At 36.1% G+C, this 24,193-nt stretch overlaps 1 protein-coding gene across 5 annotated transcripts in view; it reads right to left on the bottom strand.

Moving 5' to 3' along the window:
• The window catches only part of PRR16 (proline rich 16), a 330,317-nt gene that overhangs the window by 263,561 nt on the left and 42,563 nt on the right, over positions 1-24,193 (bottom strand). The gene's annotated exons all lie outside the window — the stretch shown is intronic.

The following is a 24,193-nucleotide window of genomic DNA, read 5'->3' as shown; positions in this document are numbered from 1 at the left end:
CAGTGCATATCTTTAATATTTCAATTATTTTTACCAACTGTATATCTATTTCTGTTTCTAACTTTTGTTGCACTAAGGTATGCACTTCATGAAATGACATAGGTAAAATTGCAAGATTCTATCTTACTCGAATAAAGCCTCATGCTAAATCCTTCTACTATTTTGGTAGCAGGGATTGTCTTAAGCTTCCTGGCTTAGATGGGAAAACAGAAACTTCCACCCTGGGTGATGGCAGGCAGTCTCTTTCCTATCCCTCAAATAACCTTTACCTTTCTCCTTTGAACTAATTTCACCCTACCATCCCTTTCTCTTACCCATCTCCCCAATATCTCCTATACCTTACCTCATCCAGAATCAAATGCTGCTCAGTTACACTGTTTTAACAATATGCTGCTTTATGACCATCAAGTTATCCTAGAACTAGCTTCATGCTAGTCGCTCACACTTAATCTAATTTTTTAACTAGTTAAGAAAAACATAAGTATTTAAAGGAAAACAATGAAGCAAACAAAAAAGAAATTAAGAGGCAATATGGGGGACTACAAAAAGTACACAGAGATATAATGAAAGAAAGTGAATGATGAACAAACAAAAAGAGAGGAGAAATCAGAAGAAAAAGGAGATCGGGCAAGTAGAGAATTATTGACATTCATGTATACTGACAGCTTACTCCGGGAAAGAATTCTGCTAACTGTTTTACATGCAGTGTGTGTAGTAAAATATAAATAAATAAATAAATAAATAAATAAATATATATATATATATATATATATATATATTTACACACACTTCAGGTAAAACAGCACAATTCTTTGCTAATATATAATATTATATATATATTCTATATATATAAGCACTGCATATATACACACACACATATATATGTCTGTAGCATATTTACAAGGTCAACATTTTTTACATGAGAAATATGTGTACTTGATTCTTAAATAGGCCTTGTTAGCTTGCTATATGACAGAAAAATTGTTTTAAGAATATAAACTTCATAAAAAGTGAAACAAATATGTTACAACACACTTTCTTTTTCTCATTTCCTCCCAGCACCCAAAACTCAATTTTATATTATTTTTGCATAGTAAAAAAGTTAATGTTAAAAAAGAAAAAAAAAGCCTGCTGTATTGTGTTTACTATTTTCTGGTCTTATAAGAGTGACTTTACTTACATGCTCTTGAAATATGGTAAGTTACCATGGTAACTAGATCCTTTGACAATTATTCTATTTTAATACAAACCAATAAAAGGGGTTAAAAATACTCTATTCTTAAATCCTTAGACTCACAGTCACTACTAAAGTTTGTCCTTACCTTCCTTGCCACATTTTTCAAGTGGATGTTTAAGGATTTTTTCCCTGTCCTATTTCACCCCTCATCAAGCTGATTTGAACAGGAACACTTCTCAAGCCATGAAAGCTGATGCACTCTGCGATAGTAAATGCCCAGCAGGAATTTTTGCACTTAATTCAAATAGATAAATATCACCAGAGTTTGTTATATAACCAAGAAGGTTATGTAGTGTGCTCGTTGTTTTACAGAGGACAAATCAGATTTTTGTTTTAGAGACAGATACTTTTTAAAAATAAAGACACAGCATAAATTATTTTAGTACACTTATGGTCTAAAACATGATTTGAGTTGTCAATAAGCCATTGTTGAACACTATCAGAAAGAAAAAAATAGGTAGCTACTATCCCCCTGTGCCTCCGCATCAATTTTATGTATCTCTTCGCTAGTAGTGATCATATCATAATTAACAAAATTTCTAAAGCTATTTTATTCAGAAATCATGTCATATTTATCTTTATAACCCAAGTATATCACCTGGTATTTAGTGGGTTCTCAATTAATGCTATAAAGAGAAAAGCAAATATAGTGAAGATTGGTTGCCTTGTTCTTCATCAATGGAAGTGTACTGTTCTAATACATATTAAGAACTAATGCTGCTAAGTTGAGATTAAGTTTGTTTTTCAGGGAGGAGACAAAAATTGAATCATAAAAAAAATGATTTAATTAAATGGAAAAATATGATTTTCCACTCAAGATACAAAATACCAGCCAAGTAAATCTGTGGCAGGCTAAGCCAAACATTGCCTCTTTTCACAAGGGCTCATAGTTTTAGCTAGCTTATGAAGAACATCAAAACTATTCTAGATATTTGTGCAATCCATAATAATCTGTCTCTTGTACTCCTCATCAGTATGTCCATCCCCATTCAGCGTGTGGGTGTTAGGGACTGTCAACCGTCTCTAGACAGCTGCCTCAGCCTGCCTCTCAGGCTTCAGGAGTAAAACATGGTCTTGCATCATGCTCAGACTGAACTTTCCATAAATCACCTCTGGATTTGGGGTCTCTACTATAGCTCCTTTGTACTCTTAAAATTGAGGTCCCCCATCCTTCCCCATTCTGCACTGGATCCCTAAGCCACATCTGGAAACTTGGATGCCTTCACTGAGCTCAAATTCATAATTGATTTACAGATTATTTGTATTTCCTCTGAGATACCACATTTTTCCCCATTTTCTCCTTTTCCACAGCCTCCCTGTTATGTCAGGTTCTTTTCTCTACCCCATCACCAGAATATGGCAAAGTTGCCAGAGTTGGTCAGTATCTTGAGTCCTACAAAATAATGTGTCTGGCAATCACCATTCATTGTACTGAAATGCAGGTCTTCGTAAGGTAACACCAAATCTACCACACTTCACCTGACTTTCCTCAACTATTGCTCTGTGTCTTCCTCTCTCTGACTCTCCATGATGCTGACTTAGTTCAAAAAGCTAAGTATTTTTGTCCTGGTTGATGACATATTTAGATTCCATTTATTGACCTGATTTCTCCATTCTACCTACCTTTTAGAATGTGCCACAGCATCAGGCAAATGACACTCTATCCATCCCAGGATCATAAGATGTTCAACATTGCATGGCAGGAGAATATAAGCATCCTATCACTATTAAGACTTCTGTACACCTCTCCATTCTAACTTTTACCTAAACTAGTATTTACCAAATAACTCAATTTGAGATCTTTAAAAACTATAAGAAAGGAATCTGGGGAATATCTGTGGATTTCCCTTCACCTCTTCATATTGTTTTTACATTAGGCATATACAAAGGCAAAGTTAATTTCCATTCTTATTGTCAATTTCCCTTCCAGGCTAGCATGTACTTCTAGGGAGGAACTGAGATGAGCATCATTTGGCATTGCCTTTGATGTATTCTCTCCCTTCTGCTAAAACAGCCACTATATCTGGGAACACTCAAATAGGAAGGCATTTGTCAACCCTGTCTAGCCCCTTTGCAGAACACTCATGCAAGTGCAAAAAGCAAAAGGAAATTCAGTTGTAGATCCAAGAACCTTCTTTTAGAAATCAGGAACCCATGCATATTCCCAAATTTTGTTTCCAATTGCACTCTACATCTAAATATGTTCAGACACTATTACAGCTATACTTCTCACTCCATAACTCAAAATTAGCCTGAGGCTACTTAAACTGTTACTTGCTGGCGTGTTAATTTGATCAGAATGTCTCAGAGCTCTCCTGCTTTCTTAATCCTTTTAAGACCAGGGTCAGCAAACCACAGCTGTGTGCCAAATCAGGCCTGCCACCTGGTTTTGTGCAGCCCATAAGCTCTAAGAATGGCTTTTACAGATGAACATTAGCAATCAATTTGATGATAGGGAACATTATGTTTGACCAATAATTAAGGAAAACACTAACCACACGAATAAAGAACTCAGTTACTCTCATCTGTAGACTTACGTACAAAAAGTTGGACTCAATTATTTTGAATTTCATCATTAAAATTGTGGAAATTTGTTTGTTATACAAATATTGGTGATTTTGCCTCTCAGACACAAAGCCTAAAATAGTTCCTATCTGGCCCTTTACAAAAAAGGTTTGCTGATCCCTACTTGATTCCACTTACATGAGGTATCCAAAAGAGTCAAATTCATAGAATCAAAGAGTAGAATGGTAAACAGCAGGACCTGGGGGGAGGAGAACTGAGTAGTTACTAATCACGGGGCATAAAGCTTCAGCTAAACAAGATGACTAAGTTTTACAGATCTGCTGTACAATATTGCCACTATAGTCAACAACAATATATTGTATACTTAAACCATTTATGGAGGGGCTGGGAGTGATGGCTCATACCTGTAACCCCAGCACTTTGGGAGGCCGAGCCAGGCAGGTCAGGAGATTGAGACCATCCTGGCCAACATGGTGAAATCCCGTAGATACAGTCTCAGAATGCTGGGAAACAGCAAATAATTACTGTATATTCTTTCATCTTTTTACTTTGCTATGATTTTTCAGAGATCAGGGCATTCACAATTTTAAGAGTGTGATTTAACCAACTATTGCACTTCCAGACAATATTATTTTGTGATTTCCAATCTCTGGTAGAGAGCAGAGTTGATACATGTGGCAGTGGCTCTACTACCAATTATGTTCCGTACCCAGGGTTGGACACACAGTTGAGCTCAGTAATACACTATAACACGAGTAAGTGAAGGAGGGAACGGCAATAATTCATGTTATTGCCAGGATTTGTTGCCTGAGGGGAAAATATAAATGGCACAGAAATGTATTCCAAATTCAGAAAGAGAAAGAAATGGCATGCAATTATATTTAAATAACATAAATGCTTATTTAAACACAGATCTGAAAGTCATGATATGAATAGATTTAGGAATGACAACAAGAGGCTAAGATGCCCTAATTCGTGTTCTTACTGGGAAGGAGAAGACAGGTGGAACGGAATCTGGTGTATGAAAAGGAAAAAGTCTGCAAAGCTTACATATTAATGACAAGGAGCTGACCACAGGATGAGATCTTTATTATCCAGACCCACAGTACCTGTGGGAGTTTTTCAACTCTGCAGCTCATACAGTTGAATGACCTATACAGTTACTTTGCAGCTCATACCATAGGTAAACTTCCACCTCAGAACAGAAAGACTAGATCTGAAATTGTGGATCTAACTGTTTCTCGGCCCCTTTCCCAGCCAAAAATGAATTAAATCAAATTTTTTCTTCAGATCTGGTTTAATCTGTTGTTATTGCATGGGGAAACACCTGTCCAAAAATGTTGTTTCTTCTTTTTAATTGTTGAAGCAGGGAGCAAAGCTTATCATTGCCTAATAATCATAATCAATTTGTTGCCTCATTAAAAAATGTGCTCAACATCTATTGCACCAACTTGACCCTTTGAACTATCCCGGGTCCTCCTAAAGGCTTATGTTTTAAAGTCTACTAATGACTTTTAAGCACTGACATGTTCTTTACCTGTTTCATGTGTGTCCATTTTATCTACATTAATTACTTTCAAGTAAAAATTTCACAAGACAATGTCCCTGACAATACCTAGCAGAATTTCCTGCCTAAGAGTTACAAAAAAAAAAAAAAAAAGCAATATTGATGTTGCTACTAAAGGAAATACATGTGTTCTTAAATTAGGTCAATATTGTATATTCATAGTAGTCTGTGGAACTGATCAGTATTATATAAAACTTCTATTTAATATATTTATTTATAGTAAGCTATGTTCCAGATATGATTTAAATGGCTTGCACACATTCTTAAAATACAGCAAGATAGCATAAATTTAAAAGGGAAAGAAGAAAGAGAAACAACAATGAAGCTACAATTCATATTTAATTTATTAAGTTCGAGCCTGGATATGGAAGAACTGGCAGAAATAGGGAGCTATAATGTGTCCATGTAATGTAGCCTAGTCATTAAGAATGAAAGAATTTGAAAAGAGTCTGGTGAATTTGAAGACAACCTGATTTAACATACTAAAATATATAATGGGGCCCTCTCATATTTACATATCACTTTGAAGTTTACAAAGCATATTAAGTATATTTATTTCCTTATATCAGTAAGACTGCATTAGAAATAAGGAAACTCTCATAAGAAAGAGTGACTTGCCAGGACAAGTTGCCTTCTAGAGGTTATCATGGCAAATATTTTCAAGAAGACTTATAGACTGGCAAAAGAGGATTGAAAGACCTACTATAAGAAACCTCCATATGACCTTACTAACAAATAAGATATTTTTATATTATCATATTTTAAGATACTCTTCTAATATTAGGCTGAGCAATACAGTAAAAAATGGTTAACCTTTTTGCCAGCCATTTCAAATGTTCAACCTAATAGTTTATTTGCTTTTTTAATTTTAAAAATGTGTGGGTACATAGTAGGTGTATATATTTATAGGGTATATAAGATATTTTGACACAGGCATACAAGGCATAATGATCACATCAGTGTAAATGGGATATTCATCACCTCAAGCATTTATCCCTTCTTTGTGTTACAAACAACCCAATTATACTCTTTTAGGTATTTAAAATGTACTATGAATTCTTGTTAACTGAAGTTATCCTGTTGTGTTATCAAATACTAGATGATATTTATTGTATGTAACTCTATGTTGTACCCATTAACCATCCCCACTTCCTCCCCTGTTCCCCACACTACCCTTCCCAGCCTATGGTAATCATTCTTCCACTCTCTATATTCATGAGTTGAATTGTCAACATAATAGTTTGGATATCAGTGAAAAAAATGTGTATCTGCATTTCCTAAACATCAAAATCCGTTCAATCATACTGAATTTTGTAGCTTGTACATTAGATATGTTATATCTTTACTAAGGAAGAATTAAAAAGAAAGGCGTGATTTCAATTAGCATTAAATACACTAAGAACATTTTTCAGAATGGTAATTCGGCTACAACTCTAGACTTTGGTACTATATTTTCTGTAAGAACATTTTGGGAAGATATTAAAAACTATATCCTGCAGAAAGATTTTAAGAGTTTAGACACAGGAGTCAGCTTAGCAGTGTTGAAATCCTGGTTCCAGCTGCTATGTGCCACTGAGGAGTTTACATAAACTTCTGTGTCTTAGTTTCCTCATCTGTACGTTGAAAATAATACTATTACTCTAACAATGAATGTTATATAACTGAGCAGTTTTCTCTTTCTAGTTTGGCTCCTGGAAAAGGCAGAGCCAAGTTCAAAGTTCATATCCAAGTACCACATTGACCCTTGTGATCTACATATGAACATTCTTCCCTCTCTGCTTTTCAAATATTAATTCTGTATATTTCTCTTGGGTTGAATTATCTATTTCTTCTTTGCCCCACTTTTATTAGAGTGTTTCTGACATGAGCTTAAATCTTTTATGGTATAAGTTAGCTTTAAAAGTATTCAATATATCAATACATATATACACACTCACTCTGAAAATTTTGACTTACAGTGACTTTCACTAGAAAAGATGTTGTATTAATTTAAATATACATATAATTTTAAGCATAATAAGTCACTGACTATAGGTAGTAATGTTTATAGTTTAGTATAATGTTTATAGTTTAGTATGAAGAAAAAATTCAACTTGAAAATAAAAATTAAATCAGAATTTAAAATAATTTTTTCTTCAGTGAATGTCACTGCAACTTAAGGATAAAACAAACAGTATAAAAATAAACCATATTCATTGACATGGACATTAAATGCTGTTTATAATACTCACAAATACAAATAAATGTATTATACTGTGCTATGGCAAAGTTCATATCTGCAACTCAAGACAGTACTTGCCTCATTAGTAAAAAATAATAATAATGATGATGTCAACCATTAAGTAACAGACTTAATACCATAGGCTACAACTAAATTACTCTAACAAAATATATCTAACCTAAGAGGCAATTATACCTTTAAAAACCTTCAAGTATTTTCATAACACCAGTGTTGAGCTATTTATTAAAATTAGATCAGAACCGCAAATAAATGTAATGATGAGATGGACTACTTTCCAAAAATGCACAAGCAGTGAAATCCACCTCTATAAGATAGCAACAAATAAATGAAAGATTTAAAAGCAAATCATTCCAGTTAACTCTTTTGAAGTTAATTTAGAATCTTAGAGCCTGGGATACATGTCTATGATTCCAAATTAAGTCAAAAAGCAGATAACAAGCTCAAAGTTTTAATATAAAAATGACTCCTATGAATAAGTTCTATACAAAGTATGGTGACTACAGCAAATTACAATGTAGTATATATTTAAAGATAGAAGAGATTTTGGGCCGGGTGTGGTGGCTCATGCCCGTAATCCCAGCATTTTGGGAGGCCGAGGCAGGTGGATCACGAGGTCAGGAGATCGAGACCATCCTGTCTAACACGGTGAAACCCTGCCTCTACTAAAAATACAAAAAAAATAAAATAAAATAGCCACGCATGGTGGCGGGCGCCTGTAGTCCCAGTTACTCAGGAGGCTGAGGCAGGAGAATGGTGTGAATCTGGGAGGCAGAGCTTGCAGTGAGCCAAGATCGTGCCACTGCACTCCAGCCTGGGCGACAGAATGAGACTCCATCTCAACCTACAGAATGGGAGAAAATTTTTGCAATCTACCCATCTGACAAAGGGCTAATATCCAGAATCTACAAAGAACTTTAACAAATTTACAAGAAAAAAGTCAAACAACCTCATCAAAAAGTGGGCGAAGGATATGAACAGACATTTCTCAAAAGAAGACATTTATGCAGTCAACAGACACATGAAAAAATGCTGATCATCACTGGCCATCAGAGAAATGCAAATCAAAACCACAATGAGATACCATCTCACACCAGTTAGAATGGCTATCATTAAAAAGTCAGGAAACAACAGGTGCTGGAGAGGATGTGGAGAAATAGGAACACTTTTACACTGTTGGTGGGACTGTAAACTAGTTCAACCATTGTGGAAGACAGTGTGGTGATTCCTCAAGGATCTAGAACTAGAAATACCATTTGACTCAGCCATCTCATTACTGGGTATATACCCAAAGGATTATAAATCATGCTGCTATAAAGACACATGCACACGTATGTTTATTGCAGCACTATTCACAATAGCAAAGACTTGGAACCAACCCAAATGTATGACAATGATAGACTGGATTAAGAAAATGTGGCACATATACACCATGGAATACCATGCAGTCATAAAAAAGGATGAGTGCATGTCCTTTGTAGGGATATGGATGAAGCTGGAAACCATCATTCTGAGCAAATTATTGCAAGGACAGAAAACCAAACACCACATGTTCTCACTCATAGGTGGGAATTGAACAATGAGAAAACTTGGACACAGGGTGGGGAACACCACACACAGGGGCCTATGGTGGGGTAAGGGAAAGGGGGAGGGATAGCATTAGGAGACATACCTAATGTAAATGACGAGTTAATGGGTGCAGCACACCAACATGGCACATGTATACATATGTAACAAACCTGCATGTTGTGCACACATACCCTAGAACTTAAAGTATAATAAAAAAAAGAAAAGAAGAAGAGATTTTGAATGTTATTACCACAAAGAAGTGATAAATGTTTAAAGTGATACATATGATAATTACCCTGATTTGATCATTGCACAATGTTTGCAAATATTGAAACATCACACTGTACCCCATAAATATGTACAATTATTAAGTGCCAATTATAAATAAAAAGTTAAGAAAAAAAATGAGCCCCATAAAGATCAGCAGACTGTAATTTGTAGTTCTAATCTTATACATATACAGGTCATATGGAAACAAAGTACACATATCCCATTAGAACCAAATAACAATAACAACCACAACGATTGTAATAAATCAAAAAATCTATAGGATTAAAAAATGGTGCTACTAAAGACCTGTTCTTTCTGATTATTCTAATCCATTTCATGAAACATTTTAGATAAGACCATAACATACATTAAAAAAAAACACACACAAAAAATAAAGGACTCATCTTGTCCCGAGCCAAAGGCAACTGGCTCATCCAAGGTTATGCTCCTTTCATTGGGGAATCCTGTATCCTTGGTTTGGTTGATGCAGAGGAACAAAGATCTTTGTCTCAAATCAGACATTTCTAAAGGGCCGTACCAATTTTAGAGATTCCACTAGAATTGACTGTATCCACCGTCGCAAATACAACACAGTTCAAATTATCCCTCTGCTTTACTTATTCCCTTATTGATGTTTCCTGTGGCACTTCTAATAAGCCTCTTGTGGACAAATTTCCATCTAATGGGGGACCATGACCTATGATGCTGTGTATAAAAAAAAAAAGTAATGTTTCCCAAATTCAAAATAAAATAAATTAAAAGAAAATATATAATCAATACAATATTTAAGAGTTTTTTTGGTAGAAAGAGACAGAACTCCAAGTGGAATAGATCCTCAAAGCTTTAAACAAAATACTACCATTTTAACTCACACATTTTATAATACTGGACTTTGTAATTTTCAGATGTAACACATATGTGACAACTCACGTAAGATGGTCAAATTGAGAACAATAAAATGCAACAGTGAAAACTTCACCCAAACCAAAAAAGACTCCTTCTTCATGCGCTACAAGTAGTAAAAGTATTAGAAACTTCAGATGTTAAAATACGGAACCATCATGAACCAAGATTTGAATAAAGAGTTTCTCTCACCCTGGGTTCTTTTAAAGTAAAGTTCTGATCTACCTAAACGTGCCTTTGTCTTGCTTCCTTCTTATTCTGATTTTACTATAATTTCAGGAATAGCAAACTATGCACAAAATTATTTTTTATTTTTATTTTTCTTTTGGAGACAGAGTCTTACTCTGTCATCCAGGCTGGAGTGCAGTGGCATGATCTTGGCTCACTGCAACCTCCACCTCCTAGGTTCAAGCGATTCTCCTGCCTCAGCCTCCTGAGTAGCTGGGATTACAGGCGCCTGCCACCATGCCTGGCTAATTTTTGTATTTTTAGTGGATACAAGGTTTCACTATGTGGCCAGACTGGTCTCGAACGCCTGACATCAAGTGATCCACCCGCCTTGGCCTCCCAAAGTGCTGGGATTTGTGTGCAAAATTCTAATAAAATATTAGACATTACTGCTTCAAAATAGGAACACTTGATTCTACACTTTAATAAACCTATTGTGCTTTCATTCCTGCAATGTTTCTTAACAATGTTCAGGATTAATGGTATCTAAAGAAGATTCAGAATAAAACTACTGAAGAAATGAGTGTATGGATGTATCAAACTAAAAAAAAAATTAGATTTCTTCAGTAAAGAAGGAGAAACCTGAAAAGTGGTATAATGAAGTGTTTTTTAAAAATGAGAAAAAAACCCATAAAAATTATTCTTTTTCAGCTCTAGGAAGCTAGGGATTTTATTTATGTTATTTACCCAGAATCTTAAGGGCCCCCCAAAATATCTGGCACATATTTTTTCTTTTCTCTTAATTTCTATTTTTTTAAAAAATAAAAGCTGCTCTTTCATTGTTGGCACAAGAGATGTTTATGCTGAGACATACAATAGCTTCCTGAGAGTTTTAAGTTTATAAATGAAAATAATCATAATTAGCATTGCTAAAGTTAATTTCAGGAAAGAAAACTGGCCTTTTAACATCATATGATGTGGAATTTTCATTGAGTGAAGTAATACAGGATTACTCTTCAAAAGCTTCATATTTGAAGTAGAATGCTCATGATAGAAAAACAATTACTTATATATAAAATTGCTAGAGAAAAATGGTTTATTTCATCACTCAATGCCTATCATATAAAGATTCCTAACACAAATTCTAATCAGTTCACGTCTAAGAAGCTAGCATTCTTCTTTTTATTACGTAATTATCACTATACAGAATATCATTTTTTATATTTGCCATTAGCACATCCAAAGCTAACTTGTATACTCAGTTACAATGATAAATTGTAACTGATACAATTTATTATTCATTACTAAATAATGAATAATAAATTAATACTGTATTGAATCAGCATGGATCTTTCTCCTGAGAAGCACATACCTGCTGTCTTTCATGTCCTAGGGTCTAGATTCTCTCTCCATGCCCTCCAAACTCAATGATCTATTGGGAAATAAGAAGGTATACTCCCTCCTTGCAGGTTATATTCAATTAGGAATGGGAAGAATGGGGGAAGGTTCAATCGTAGGCTTATTTATCGCCAAACTATTAAGATTGTATTAGTTAAGACATAGGCTTAACTAATAAAATAAAATAACTACAGTATCTTAAACAAGATAAGTTTATTACTGCCTTTTCTATCTTGTTCTCAAACATCCTTAAAAGGTGATTTCCATCTCACAGTTCAAGATGACTCCTCTAGTTCCAGCCATGACATTCATAATCTAGCCAGCAAGAAGGGGAAAAGAGGCAAGGGGAAGTCACATACATTCCCTTTGCATTCCATACATGCATTTGAGAACAAAGTGTAGCAATTACACACATCACCTCTGTTCAGACCCGTTGTTCAAAATGTAGTCATCTTGCCACACTATACTACAAAGGGGGTTGGAAATGTGATGTTTATTGTAGAAGGCCACATGTCCAGGAAAAAATTTATTACTACACAAGGTGGGCTAAATACTGGAGACAACCAGCAGCCTCTATTAAAAAAAAAAAAAAGATTTTAATGAGGATAGCCTTTCAACTCACAAACACAATTTTCTTTCTCTGAAGGTAAACAAGCTTTGCAAAGATGACTGGGTCAAGATGCATTTGGGTACCAGTTTCCATGCCACTCCTGGAACCCAAATTGAAGCCTCATCCCTAGTCTCCTTCTTATACAAAGAATTCCCTCTCAAGGACCCCACAGTTATCATAATTTGTCTCCTACAGAGTCAGTATATTCCTTTACAAATATATATATATACAATTAAAACAAATAATTGAAGATTAGGAAATTATTGCTCCAGGAAGTGAATAGATACCTGCAAAATTTAATGAGAATTAAGATGTATTAAAAACTTGCTTTTCTGAGTGTTCTTTATACATTACCTCATTTAACCCATAAGCTGCCTATGAGCGATATGTATTACTGTCACTCTCTTTCTAGATAAAAAAGATTGACGTAAAAAGAGGGTAAGTCACATGTCCGGGTCATAGACATCTGAAAGCAGACAAGATAGTTTCAAGCCCAGACAATTTAACACCAGATCCTGTAACTCAAGAGCTATCTATCCATCATTATAGTGACACAAAACTTTTTCCCCAGCCAAGATAATTTATACAGCTTGGAAAAATACTGATGCATTTTAGAGAATCCTAGAACTTTACAGTACAGGAAGTCCTCGTAGATCTCATAGAGGTCAAAAGTAGAAAGATCACAAAGAGAGCAGTGGCAAAGATGAAATTACAACCCAGGCCTTCTAGTACTGAAAACAGTATCCAGCTACCACTTCACACTGGCCCCTCCCTTTAGAAACAGAGTAAAGAATTACTGAGACAGATATAAAGCCAAGTTTTCCCTAGGAACACTCTTCTACTATCTACAAAGTATTAACCAGGATATTTTGGAGCTCTACTGTCGAAAAAGAACAATCAATAAAACTGTAGCTAAGTTTTAAAAGAAAAGAAATCCATGAAATTATTAGTTTATTAAACCCTGGAGATTTTGTAAGACATTTTTATCAACATCAAATGTTTCTTTCCTTACGATTTATGTTCTTTAAAGAAGAATAGAAAACTATATATTTTCTATGGGAACCCATTTCTATATGTGAAAAGGTTTTTTAAAAAAACATATGTCTCCAGGAATACAAGCAAAAGTCTCAAGCATAGTTAGTGAGGGTTTGTGGGAATGGGTAGGGGTGAGGGAGAGTAGGAAAATAAAGAATCACTCTGTGGTGGATGGTCAGAGCAGAATTCTGCTTCAAGTGTAATGTTCTAATTTATTTACATGGAAATAAATTGAATTCATGCATTGATTGTACTACTCTAGTAAAGTAAATTAAACATTAAAATTAATAATTTAAAATGAAGAAAAGTAGCCTTCCCAAAGGGATTCAAATCAAGCAAATCACCCTCAGTATATTCTCTGTTGTAATATTTTCTCCCAGACTATTCCTGCACAGCGGGATAAAAGTATCTGCTGCCAAAGATTTTTTTGCTAGCAATTTTTTACTCTGACTCAGGGAAATCCCAAAGCAGCCTTCTCTTTGGGCTGTATTTACCTCATGAGAATTTTTCACAGAATTTGCTAACAATAGAAATTGTTCTTGGTTATGATACAAACCCAGCAGGATGTTCAAAATGCCACAGGTGACTCAGTGGCCCTGCCTGACAAAGCCTGCTGGTAGGTACCATATGAGCCATATGGAAATTGCTAAAACGGGAAATAAAGCAGCAGGTTCTGAAACCACCAGCATCCCTTGCTATGGTGAATTAACATTAGTCTATGGTGCAAAATATCTCTGCCTTTGAAATGTCCAAGATCTATGAAATATCACCAATCCATGGCAACATACCAAGTAGTTTTTCAGTGTATTCTGCTGATTCCCGTTTTCGCTTATTTGATTAGAGCCTGACATAACCACGTTTTTAAAGAAAAAATATATAAAAGCGTCCATGCACGCCATACTTTTCTCTGCAGCATTCATATTCTTTAGAAACCAATGTAGTGACAGGATGACTTTAAAGCATAGTATAAATGCCTTCTAATTGTTAATGTATATGCGTGTGTGTGTGTGTGTGTGTGTGTGTGTGTCCTTCCCTCCTGAGAAATAATATCACAAGACATCTTGCTTTTTTTTTTTTTTTTTTTTTTTGAGACATAATCTCACCCTGTCACCCAGGCTGGAATGCAGTGTGTGATTTCGGCTCATTGCAACCTCTGCCTCCTGGGTTCAAGTGATTCTTGTGCCGCAGCCTCCCGAGTAGCTGGGACTACAGGTACCCGCCACCACACCCAGCTAATTTTTGTATTTTTTGGTAGAGATGGCGTTTCGCCATGTTGGCCAGGCTGGTCTCGAACTCCTGACCTCAAGTGATCCTCCCACCTCCACCTCCCAAAGTGCTGAGATTACGGGCATAAACCACCACGACCAGCTTTTGTTTTGGTTTGGTTTGGTTTGGTTTGGTTTTGCTTTCTAGCAGAAAATTTTCAGTCTTGAACTGCATTGTGGAGACAATCTAGGGAAGCAGTTGTACTAAAAAGAGGGAACTTTCAGGAAAGTGAAAATTGTTTACACAAAATTGTCAATATAGAAAAAGAAAAACACTACAGATTTAAATTTGATAGATATTTTAGGTGAGGCTCTCTTAAACAAGAGATTCTTGAAGAAAGAAATTCTATCAACATAATATATACAAAAATAACTTCCAACTGAATAAAGCATAAAATTCTCATAATACATAAATGCTATAAAGGCAATTAATGCAGCATCTTTGCATAAACCTTGTTCCACACAAGGCACACTGTACTTCTATCACAACATACTCCTTCAAATTGACTGTGAGAAACATGCTGTATTTATCATTTGAATAAATATCCACATACATACAAGTATAGATTATATCAAAGATTGGTAAAAAATGCTATTAATCTGGGTTTTTTTCAGTGAGTAAGAGAATAAAGATTTTAAAAAGAAAGTGATCAGAATGTAGGGTATCCCTGAGGTTATTTAACACAAGTGGTTTCTAAGGAAAGGTGCCATGCTCAGTTACATTTTACAAAGTTCCCATCATCCCTTTCTTCACCAGTTTATATCATTATTATTAATCAAATATCAATTTTCAATGATTTATAAGAGATTATTTTAGAAAGGGACTTGTGTTGAAAATAGGATAAAATATATGACATTTTTGCTATGGTTTGAATGTGTCTCCCAAAGCTTAAGTGTTGGAAACTTAATCCTCTGTGCAAATGTATTGAGAGGTGGGACCTTTAAGAGGTGATTGGGTTATGAGGCTTCTGCCCTCATAAATAGATTAATGTGATTATCATGGGGGTGGGTTTATCATGAAAGTGAGTTCCTTATAAATGCAAGTTTGGACAACCTCTTGCTCCCTTATGTGTTCTCTCTCACCCCTTTAATGCCTCTGGGATATTATGACACAGCAAGAAAGTTGTCACCAGATGCAGCACTTGATCTTGGCCTTCTCAACCTCCAGAACCATGAGCCAAATAAAATTCTGTTGTATATAAATTATCAAGTCCCAGGTATTGTTACAGGGGCACAAAACAGACTAAGAAAGAAAATTGATACTAAGAAGCTAAGTGGGACTGTTGCTATAAGAAATATCTGAAAGTGTGGAAGCAGATTTGGAAGTGGGTAACAGATACAAATTGGAAGAATTTCGAAGAGCAGGCTAGAAAAAAAACCCAAATTGCCATAAACAGAGCATCAGTGGTAATTCAGGTGAGAGCTCAGAAGAAAGAAAGAAATGGAGAAAATATCTGGAGCTTTTTTCTTAAATTATTGTGATCAGAATCTGGTAGAAATGTGGACAAAAAAGGACATTGTGATGAGGTCTTGGATAGAAATGTGGAATACGGTATGGGAAACTAGAGTAAAGGCTATCCTGGTTACACTTGCAAATAACCTGGTGAAATTGTGTCTGTCTTATGACTTTGTGAAAGGTAGAACTTAAGACTTAAGAGCTAGGACATCTGGCAGAAGAAATATCTAAGCAGCAAAGTATTCAAGGTACTTACTACATGACTTCTTTTGGCTGCTTAGAATAAAATGGCAGAAAACAGAAATAATTTAAAGATGGGATTTATAATTAAAAAGGAAGCAGAATGGAAAGATCTAGAGAACTCTCAGCCAGGCTATGTAAAAAATAGAAAAGCATGCTGTTCAGGAGAGAATACTAAGGGGACCAAGCAACCCTTTGCTAAGGAGATTAATATGGATGGTAGGAAGCCACGTTCTATTCATCAAGACAATGGAAGAATGACACCAAAGGCATTTCAGAGAACTTCCAGGCAAGCTACCACCTTGAGAGCAAGGTTTCCAGAGTGCTGCCTGCTCCTTTTTACAATGGCATAGAGAATCAGTAAATCATTAGGCTAAAAATGGCATCTTAGGTTCATATATTCATCATTATTCATAAAATACTTATTGGGCACCTAATATATGTGAAACACGATGCTAAATGCTGGGCATATGATAATGAATAAAACAGATGTGGCAAGGTGCGGTGGCTCACATCTGCAATCCCAGCACTTTGGGAGGCCGAGGTGGGTGGATCACGAGGTCAGGAGTTCGAGACCAGCCTGACCAAAATGGTGAAACTCCGTCTCTACTAAAAATACAAAAAATTAGCCGGGCATGGTGGTGGGCACCTGCAATCCCAGCTACTCGGGAGGCTGAGGCAGGAGAATTGCTTGAACCCAGGAGGCGGAGGTTGCAATGAGCAGAGATCATGCTATTGCACTCCAGCCTGGGCGACAGGGTGAGACTCCATCTCAAAAAAAAAAAAAAGAAAACAGATGGGATCTCTATGTTCTTAAGTCTGGCCATCAATTGAGAGAGACATTAAATAAAACTATATATAAATGTATGTAAGTCTAATTTGTAACAAGTTCTATGAAAAAAACACAGAGATGTAATAGAGAATACTGTGATGAGGAGGGCCAGTAGGGGGAAAGGTGGGTAACGAATGTCTGAGGATCAGAAGCCAGGTAAAGAGAAGAAGAGACAAAATTCCAGGTGGAGGAAACATGTGAAGGCCATGAGTCTTGAGAGTATGAAGTATTCAAGAACTGGAAGAGGGTCAGTGTGGTCACAGCACAATGAGCAAAGGAGAGTGAGGTTTGAGAAAAAGTTGGAAAAATAGACAATAAGACATTACCATCAGGAGAAGTCCGTCTTCATCAGGAATTCAGTGAAAGGATATAAACAGAGGAATTGAGGCAGGCAGTTAGCAAGGGAACAAACATGATTACCTGCAGGTAGCTAAATACAAATGGAATCAACGCAAGTACCAGTCCCCTAGTAGAAAGAAACTGTTATGAGAGGTTGCAACAATGAAGACAGGTTGCAGACATCCTGCTTTAGGCATAGATAGGAATGCAGCAAAGAAGAAACCAGCCACAACCGGTTAAATCCAAGACGGCTGAAAGCTTGACTGACCCCCATCACTTGGCTGTATTACTCCCTTATTACCCTAAAATTTCCGAACGGAAGCCTCCCACTCCCTTTATACACCTGACGCCATGACAGTTCCGGAGTGACCATATTTAGTCTAGAAAAAGGTGGCACCCCGATTCAGGGAATTGCCTGTCCATTTACAGGAAATCCCCTCCCTTTATTATAGCATATTCTGCACCTTCATTATGCTTATCTATATAGTATGTGAGTCCTGACCACGTCATGCTGTCTTATTCTTTTGAACACGCCTGCGCTCCTCTCTTGAGTGTGTACTTGCTTTCCCTCCCCAGTAAAGCTTCTATACTCTCACTTTGGTCTCCTTTTCAAATTTTTTTGCGTGGTGAAGACAAAAACCTGAACCTCCCTACCAGCAACGGAATGGCTTCATTGTTACACAGGCTGTTTGGAGAGTGCCTGAAGGAAAGATAAACTGAATATCCTAGACAAGCAGAAAATATTCTAATATAATTAGATATCTTAGATCTTTACGAACATTCCCAATTCCATATTCTTGTCACAGGTAGGAAAACATATGATTCTAGTCTCAGATTCTTTTTTCTATGCCGCCAGAAACCACCGACCCATAAGATGCAATTCATCCCTTTCTGATTACTGGGAATAACGGTCAGAAGCAGGCCTCTCAGAGCAAGAGATGTCACCTCATCTCAGAGCAAGAGTCTCAGAGCAAGAGTGAGAACTGCCACCTCCTCTCCAAGATTGCTGACTTTTCTAGCTAGGAGCAGAACCACAGCCAGGCAATTGTGATCTTTAAGGGATTTGGTCGCCTGGAGCCCTCACAACCTCAAGCTCTCAAAGCTACCAGGAAAGTCATGTCTCACAGAAAAATTAAGGACAATAGGTGGGGGAGGGAAGGAGATGTGTCTCTTGAATGCTATCTCTGTATCTGGAGGGGAAACAAGGTCAATGGATGGGGATTCCAGGAACAGCAGGATGCCTGAATCTAGGGCACTGCTGAAATTCAGCAGCGCTGTGGTAGGGAAAGTTTGTGAAACTCCATTAATGCCTTTCCTCTCAGGGTTCCTTGACTACACTAATAAAATATTACCTAATTGCAAGGGTGAATGATAGAGCTGAATAATTTAACTGTGGAGCTTAGAGGCTTCAGACAGATTTCTCTTTCATCAAAACGTTTAAAAACAATAGCTCTTCATTTTCCTAGAAGACCCCTAGAAGGAGCAAGCTTTCTCACTTTTCTAAGGTAAACCAAATTGATGTGAAGCACACAACTGCAGCAGTTCCTCCAGGTTTCTCTTTGTCTTGTTATTCGACACTAAACTGTGTCAAAAAGATAATGCTATTTCTCCTCTGTTGCCTAGCTAGTGTTTCAAACAAACTTTTTTCTATAGGATGAGACTAAAATCTGAAAAGTCTAATTGTCTCTTAAACACTAAGAACTCTCAAAATAAATACATTAATTGAGTAGAAAGTTGCCCTAGATCTGAGTTCTTTAAATACTGAATTAATCTACCATAAGCAGTGACAGTAGGGGAGCGGAGGCAGCAAAAACTTCCATGAAGAACTTAGAAATAAGGGAGATAAGCTTTCCCTCTGAAAATTAAATTATAAAATCACTACATAATAGGTCAGAGATAAGACAAGCCATTTGGTAAAGCCCAAAGTGGCTCCCAGACACAGAAAACTGGCTATAACGTGACTAAAATAAACAATAATAAATGAGAAGGAGAGTCAGCAATGAAAGTTTGGAAAAATGTGGAAAATGAACATTCTCAGAGGCTCAGTCCAAGAGAGAGTCCATTTTGGCCCAAAAATATGGGTTTTTTGGTCCCAGTGACAGACAAAACTTTATTTGCATGAATTAAGTTACCTTAGATTGATGTCATTCATCCTAAACTGATTCCATGCAACCTGTACAGGCTTTTAATTATATTCTAGTTCCTCCAGGCTTTAGGGAGAAAATCAGATAGCTAAAAATGATAGCCCCTTTGGCAGTGCTATTTCTCGTTACACATTTAATACACTGACATTCTGCTTTGATTCATTAGTTTCTGGGCGCTTGTGTATGGAGCCCTAAGAGACAGATCCACATTCAGTATGCCAATAAGTCAGGTTTCTGAGATGGCAAAGCTGAGAACCAGACCATATCACATAATATTGTCCTGTACTCTCATCCACATCATATTAGTTTCCCCAGGCAAGTAGGGATGAGGCAAGCCACATATTTCTCAGATGAAAGAAACACAGTCACATATGACAGAACCAGGATCATAATCTGAGCCTCTAATTTTTTGTTTACCTTTCATTCCATTACAAACTTAGTGCATCAGAAATCTATATAACACTGTATTTATTGACTCTGTCTCAATTTCAAGATTTGAGGTAAGCATAAATCCTGTAGATATTCCAATCTGGAGACCATGGTAAATAGAAGTCATTTATGTAATTAAATCATTTTTAAGTCCCCACCCATCACCCAGTGCATTCTATTTCCTTCATTTGCTATATGTAGGCTGCTACCGATAGTTTGAAAAATTGTAGCATCACACAATGTCTAATATCTAACATGTGAATACAGATGCCATTTCATGGGACATAGTCTTTTTCTACAAATGATAGGAAGTGCAAAATAATCTCTCACAGATAGCAGGCTCTGTTGCACAATGATAAGCATGCCAGGCAGTAATTTTTCATTTTAGCAATTTCAACTAAGGAGCAGTTTCAACTGTCAAGACATATCCATTCTCATATTTCCATTATGAACTGTAATCTCACATACATTAACAAGCTCCTATGTAACACGTTGAATGTTATTATTTGGTATTTAAATAGCTTTCTGAGAACACAAAGTGTTCTGCCAATCATAAATACTTTGCCCACAATGCCATTGCTTCAGAGACAGGTGTAAATCATTCTCTTACTTTAACAGTTGAGAAATTAACACTAAGTCAGAGTAAGTTAATGACAAAAGACAGGGCACATTTAAGTGATAAGACCAGCTAAAGCAAAATGTGTATTTACCCAGTTTTGTGCATTCTAACCTAAGGACCTTTAACTCTTCATAAACTAGCTCTTTTTGAAAGCCTCTTTTGCTAGTAAAAGCCTCACTTATGCACTAGTCCAAACATGGATGTGTAAAGAACAGTATACTGAATAGGGAATCAGTTATCTTGTCATATCAGAAGCTCAGCCTGTCCAATTGGGATCACGTCGCAGAAAAAAAACTTGAAGACCTTCAAGGCCATTATGAATTAAATATTACTCAATGCTGACACAAAATTCCAATTTAGAAGGTAATTAACTCCCTGTTAGTGAAAGTTTCTGACTGAACAGATTAAAAAAATGAATTGCCTTGATATTCACCTGACGACTTCAGGCCAAATTAATTTCTTCCTGCTCTAATTCAAATACTATAGGGTAAAACTCTGATGTCTATAACAGCAAAAGACAATTGAAAATTCGAAAGCAGTCGATAGGCTAAAATTTATAGCTCCTCTTCTCAAATTTAACCCCTTCCAACCAGATAATGCCTAGATACTACTACATTTAACTATGAGAAATGAACAAAGGAACTGGCAATGGATAGATAAATTCTCAGTGGAGGAGCCCTTCTTAACCATTCTTATTTACGCCTCACTCTGAGAAAAACAGAACCTCAGCAACCAAGCAGACATTCTAGCATGTGACTATACCCAAGCGAACCATCTCAGTAGCCCCAAAGGATTGGCCATCCTTTTTCTGGTGGCCTCAGTCAATCCTTTTATTCTCACTTGATACCAAAAGCATATGGTTGTAAACAGTTCTACAGACGGATGAAGAGACCTCAACAGAAACCAAGGAGAAAATCTGGCCTACAGATGTATGATTACACCATAGAGGGCCTGTGGTGCTTATAAACCATGTGAGCTAAAGTATTTACAAGATGAATACTAGAAACACAAAACACATGTGTACATAAAAGACAAAGATTTACTGTGCTACTACATTTTGCCAGCTAATTAAAAATTCACTATCGAGATTCACAGGCAACATAAACATAAGACAGAGCTATATAATCTAAACAACCTATTTTACAGAAAGCTAGTCCCATCAGTGTATATTTTCAACTTCACAATTTTTATTTGACTAAGCAAATTATCTTTACTATCCCCCCCCTCACCCAACTAAAAGTTACAGGTTATATACAAAAAGGAGCATATAGTAATAAATATTTATTTTCAGACAATGATAGCCCTAGACCTTCTTATGACATGATTTAGCTTATGCCAGGGCAGCATTTATATATTTAATATATTCAGTGGTTGATAAAGTATATAATTGTATGATAGCTATTGTCCTTAAACTAATGCTTTAAAACCTAAGATGATCCCTGTATATGGGGAAAACACTCAAAGTAAAAATGTAAAATATTTGCAGAATGACGTTATCCAAATAAGTCTCTGTTAATTAAAGACACAATTTATAAGGATATTCTGGATATACTGGAGAAGATTGAGCCCTACAAATACGGAAATCTAATGATATGGGGAGGGGCTAACACCATTGTTCTAAAGCCTTTCTTTTTTCTAATTTCTAAAGCAACTGAGGCTTCCTGGGTTGTTACCCGTCTGAAGAAAGCATCAAATACACTACTTATATAATATTGCAGCAGACTGCTACAGAGATTAAATTGTCATCAGACTCCACACATTCTCCTTTAAGTTATTGTAACAGTTAAAAATTGTGTTCAATTGCATATAAAAGAAAACCCAAACAACACTGTTTTCAGCACACAGAGTTTTGCATAACAAGAAGTCAAATTTCAAGCAATCCAGGATGATGTAACAACCACAAGTGTATAGTAACTACTGCAGATGCCATTCATCTCAGCATATAGTTTTCGTCCTCATCTTCTCAAGATGGAAGTTTTGTCTCCTTGCATGATATTCCTATTTTTATTCCAGGAAGGGGAAAGGGAAGAAAAGGAAGGAAAAAGAGGAAAGGTATGTGCAGCTGAGTCTGCTCCCTTTAAAAGCTTTCCCAGAAAACCCGCCAATGACATACTTAGGCACCACCAGTCTGACTGCACCACAATTTAGTAGGAGAGGTTGAGAAATATAGTTATTTAGTGGGCACATTAGTGTCTCAAACCAAAGTGAGGTTCTGATGTTAAGGAAGAAGGAGGGAATAAATAGTGGGTAGGCAAGTAGCAGTATCTGCCCTTGTTATAAATGCACTGCTTTGTCATCCAGCTGTCATCTAACCCAATAGAATATGGTTTTGAAAGTCTCTGAAAAATAGAAAGTTTACATTGATTCTTGCATCAGACAGTAATTTTTTTTAAAGACACCCAAGCTCAAACTGTCATATTTAACAATTCAGACCAACCTTAAAAAAAATGGTTAACTAGCGTGCCTTTTCCTTAGCAGTTGTTGGTAAGAAAATAAAAAAGCAACTTTTAATTAAAAAAATATAAAACAAAGCAAAATGAAACCATAACAATGACAAAAACACTGAATATGAGTCTTCAGGCTTTATATATACAAACTATGTCTAAGTCATGTCAGTCCAACATTTTGTCATCGTTCTCTCCTTACTATTAATCCTGAAGGAATCACACTTTTCTGTAAGATGATCAAAATAAATTGATGAGGTACTCCATCTGTTCTGCATGCAGTCACACATTTGCCACTTTTGCTAACTGTAAGGTTTTTCACACTGAGAAACACTGCTGATAAATCAGGAATGATGATCACTGAAACATTTGTTTCGCAATTTAAGTAAAATACTTCATGTACATATTCCATCAAAAATGGAAATAAGTTGTTCATGTCTGTTTTATTTTTCACAGCATAGGTATATATAACATAAAAATGCCTTAAAGGGTAGAAATCTTTAAATATTGTAGATGCAAGGTATTATATATCTCATACAAACTGCATTTGTGGCATACTATGCAAGGGATGGTGCCCTTATGTTTCTAGTTTCTTTAGGGATTCTAGATATATTCTCAAAAATAAAAATAGGAGTGTCCTTTAAGACAAATCATCACAGAAAGGATTTCTCCTATTGTATTTCTTTAGCCTGGTATTACCACTGGTAGAAAGTTGAAATGAATGGAGCAGTAGACATTAAATTTACTTCCCAAGGCCATTAACAGTTGCCTTGCCTTCTTCTATTGAGGCCAGAAAGCTAAAATACTGACCCCCATTAGCCTCCCTTCTGATCTTGGGACCCCACTGTGCTCAAAGATAAGATGGGAACAAATGGGAAACTTAAAAGTATAGGCTCAGTTGGC

The sequence above is a fragment of the Homo sapiens genome, chromosome 5 (assembly GCF_000001405.40).
Source record: "Homo sapiens chromosome 5, GRCh38.p14 Primary Assembly".
In the NCBI taxonomy this organism is placed as follows: Eukaryota; Metazoa; Chordata; class Mammalia; order Primates; family Hominidae; genus Homo; species Homo sapiens.
Note: the sequence above shows the minus strand (reverse complement) of the source record. Positions and strands in the feature narration are given on the sequence as shown.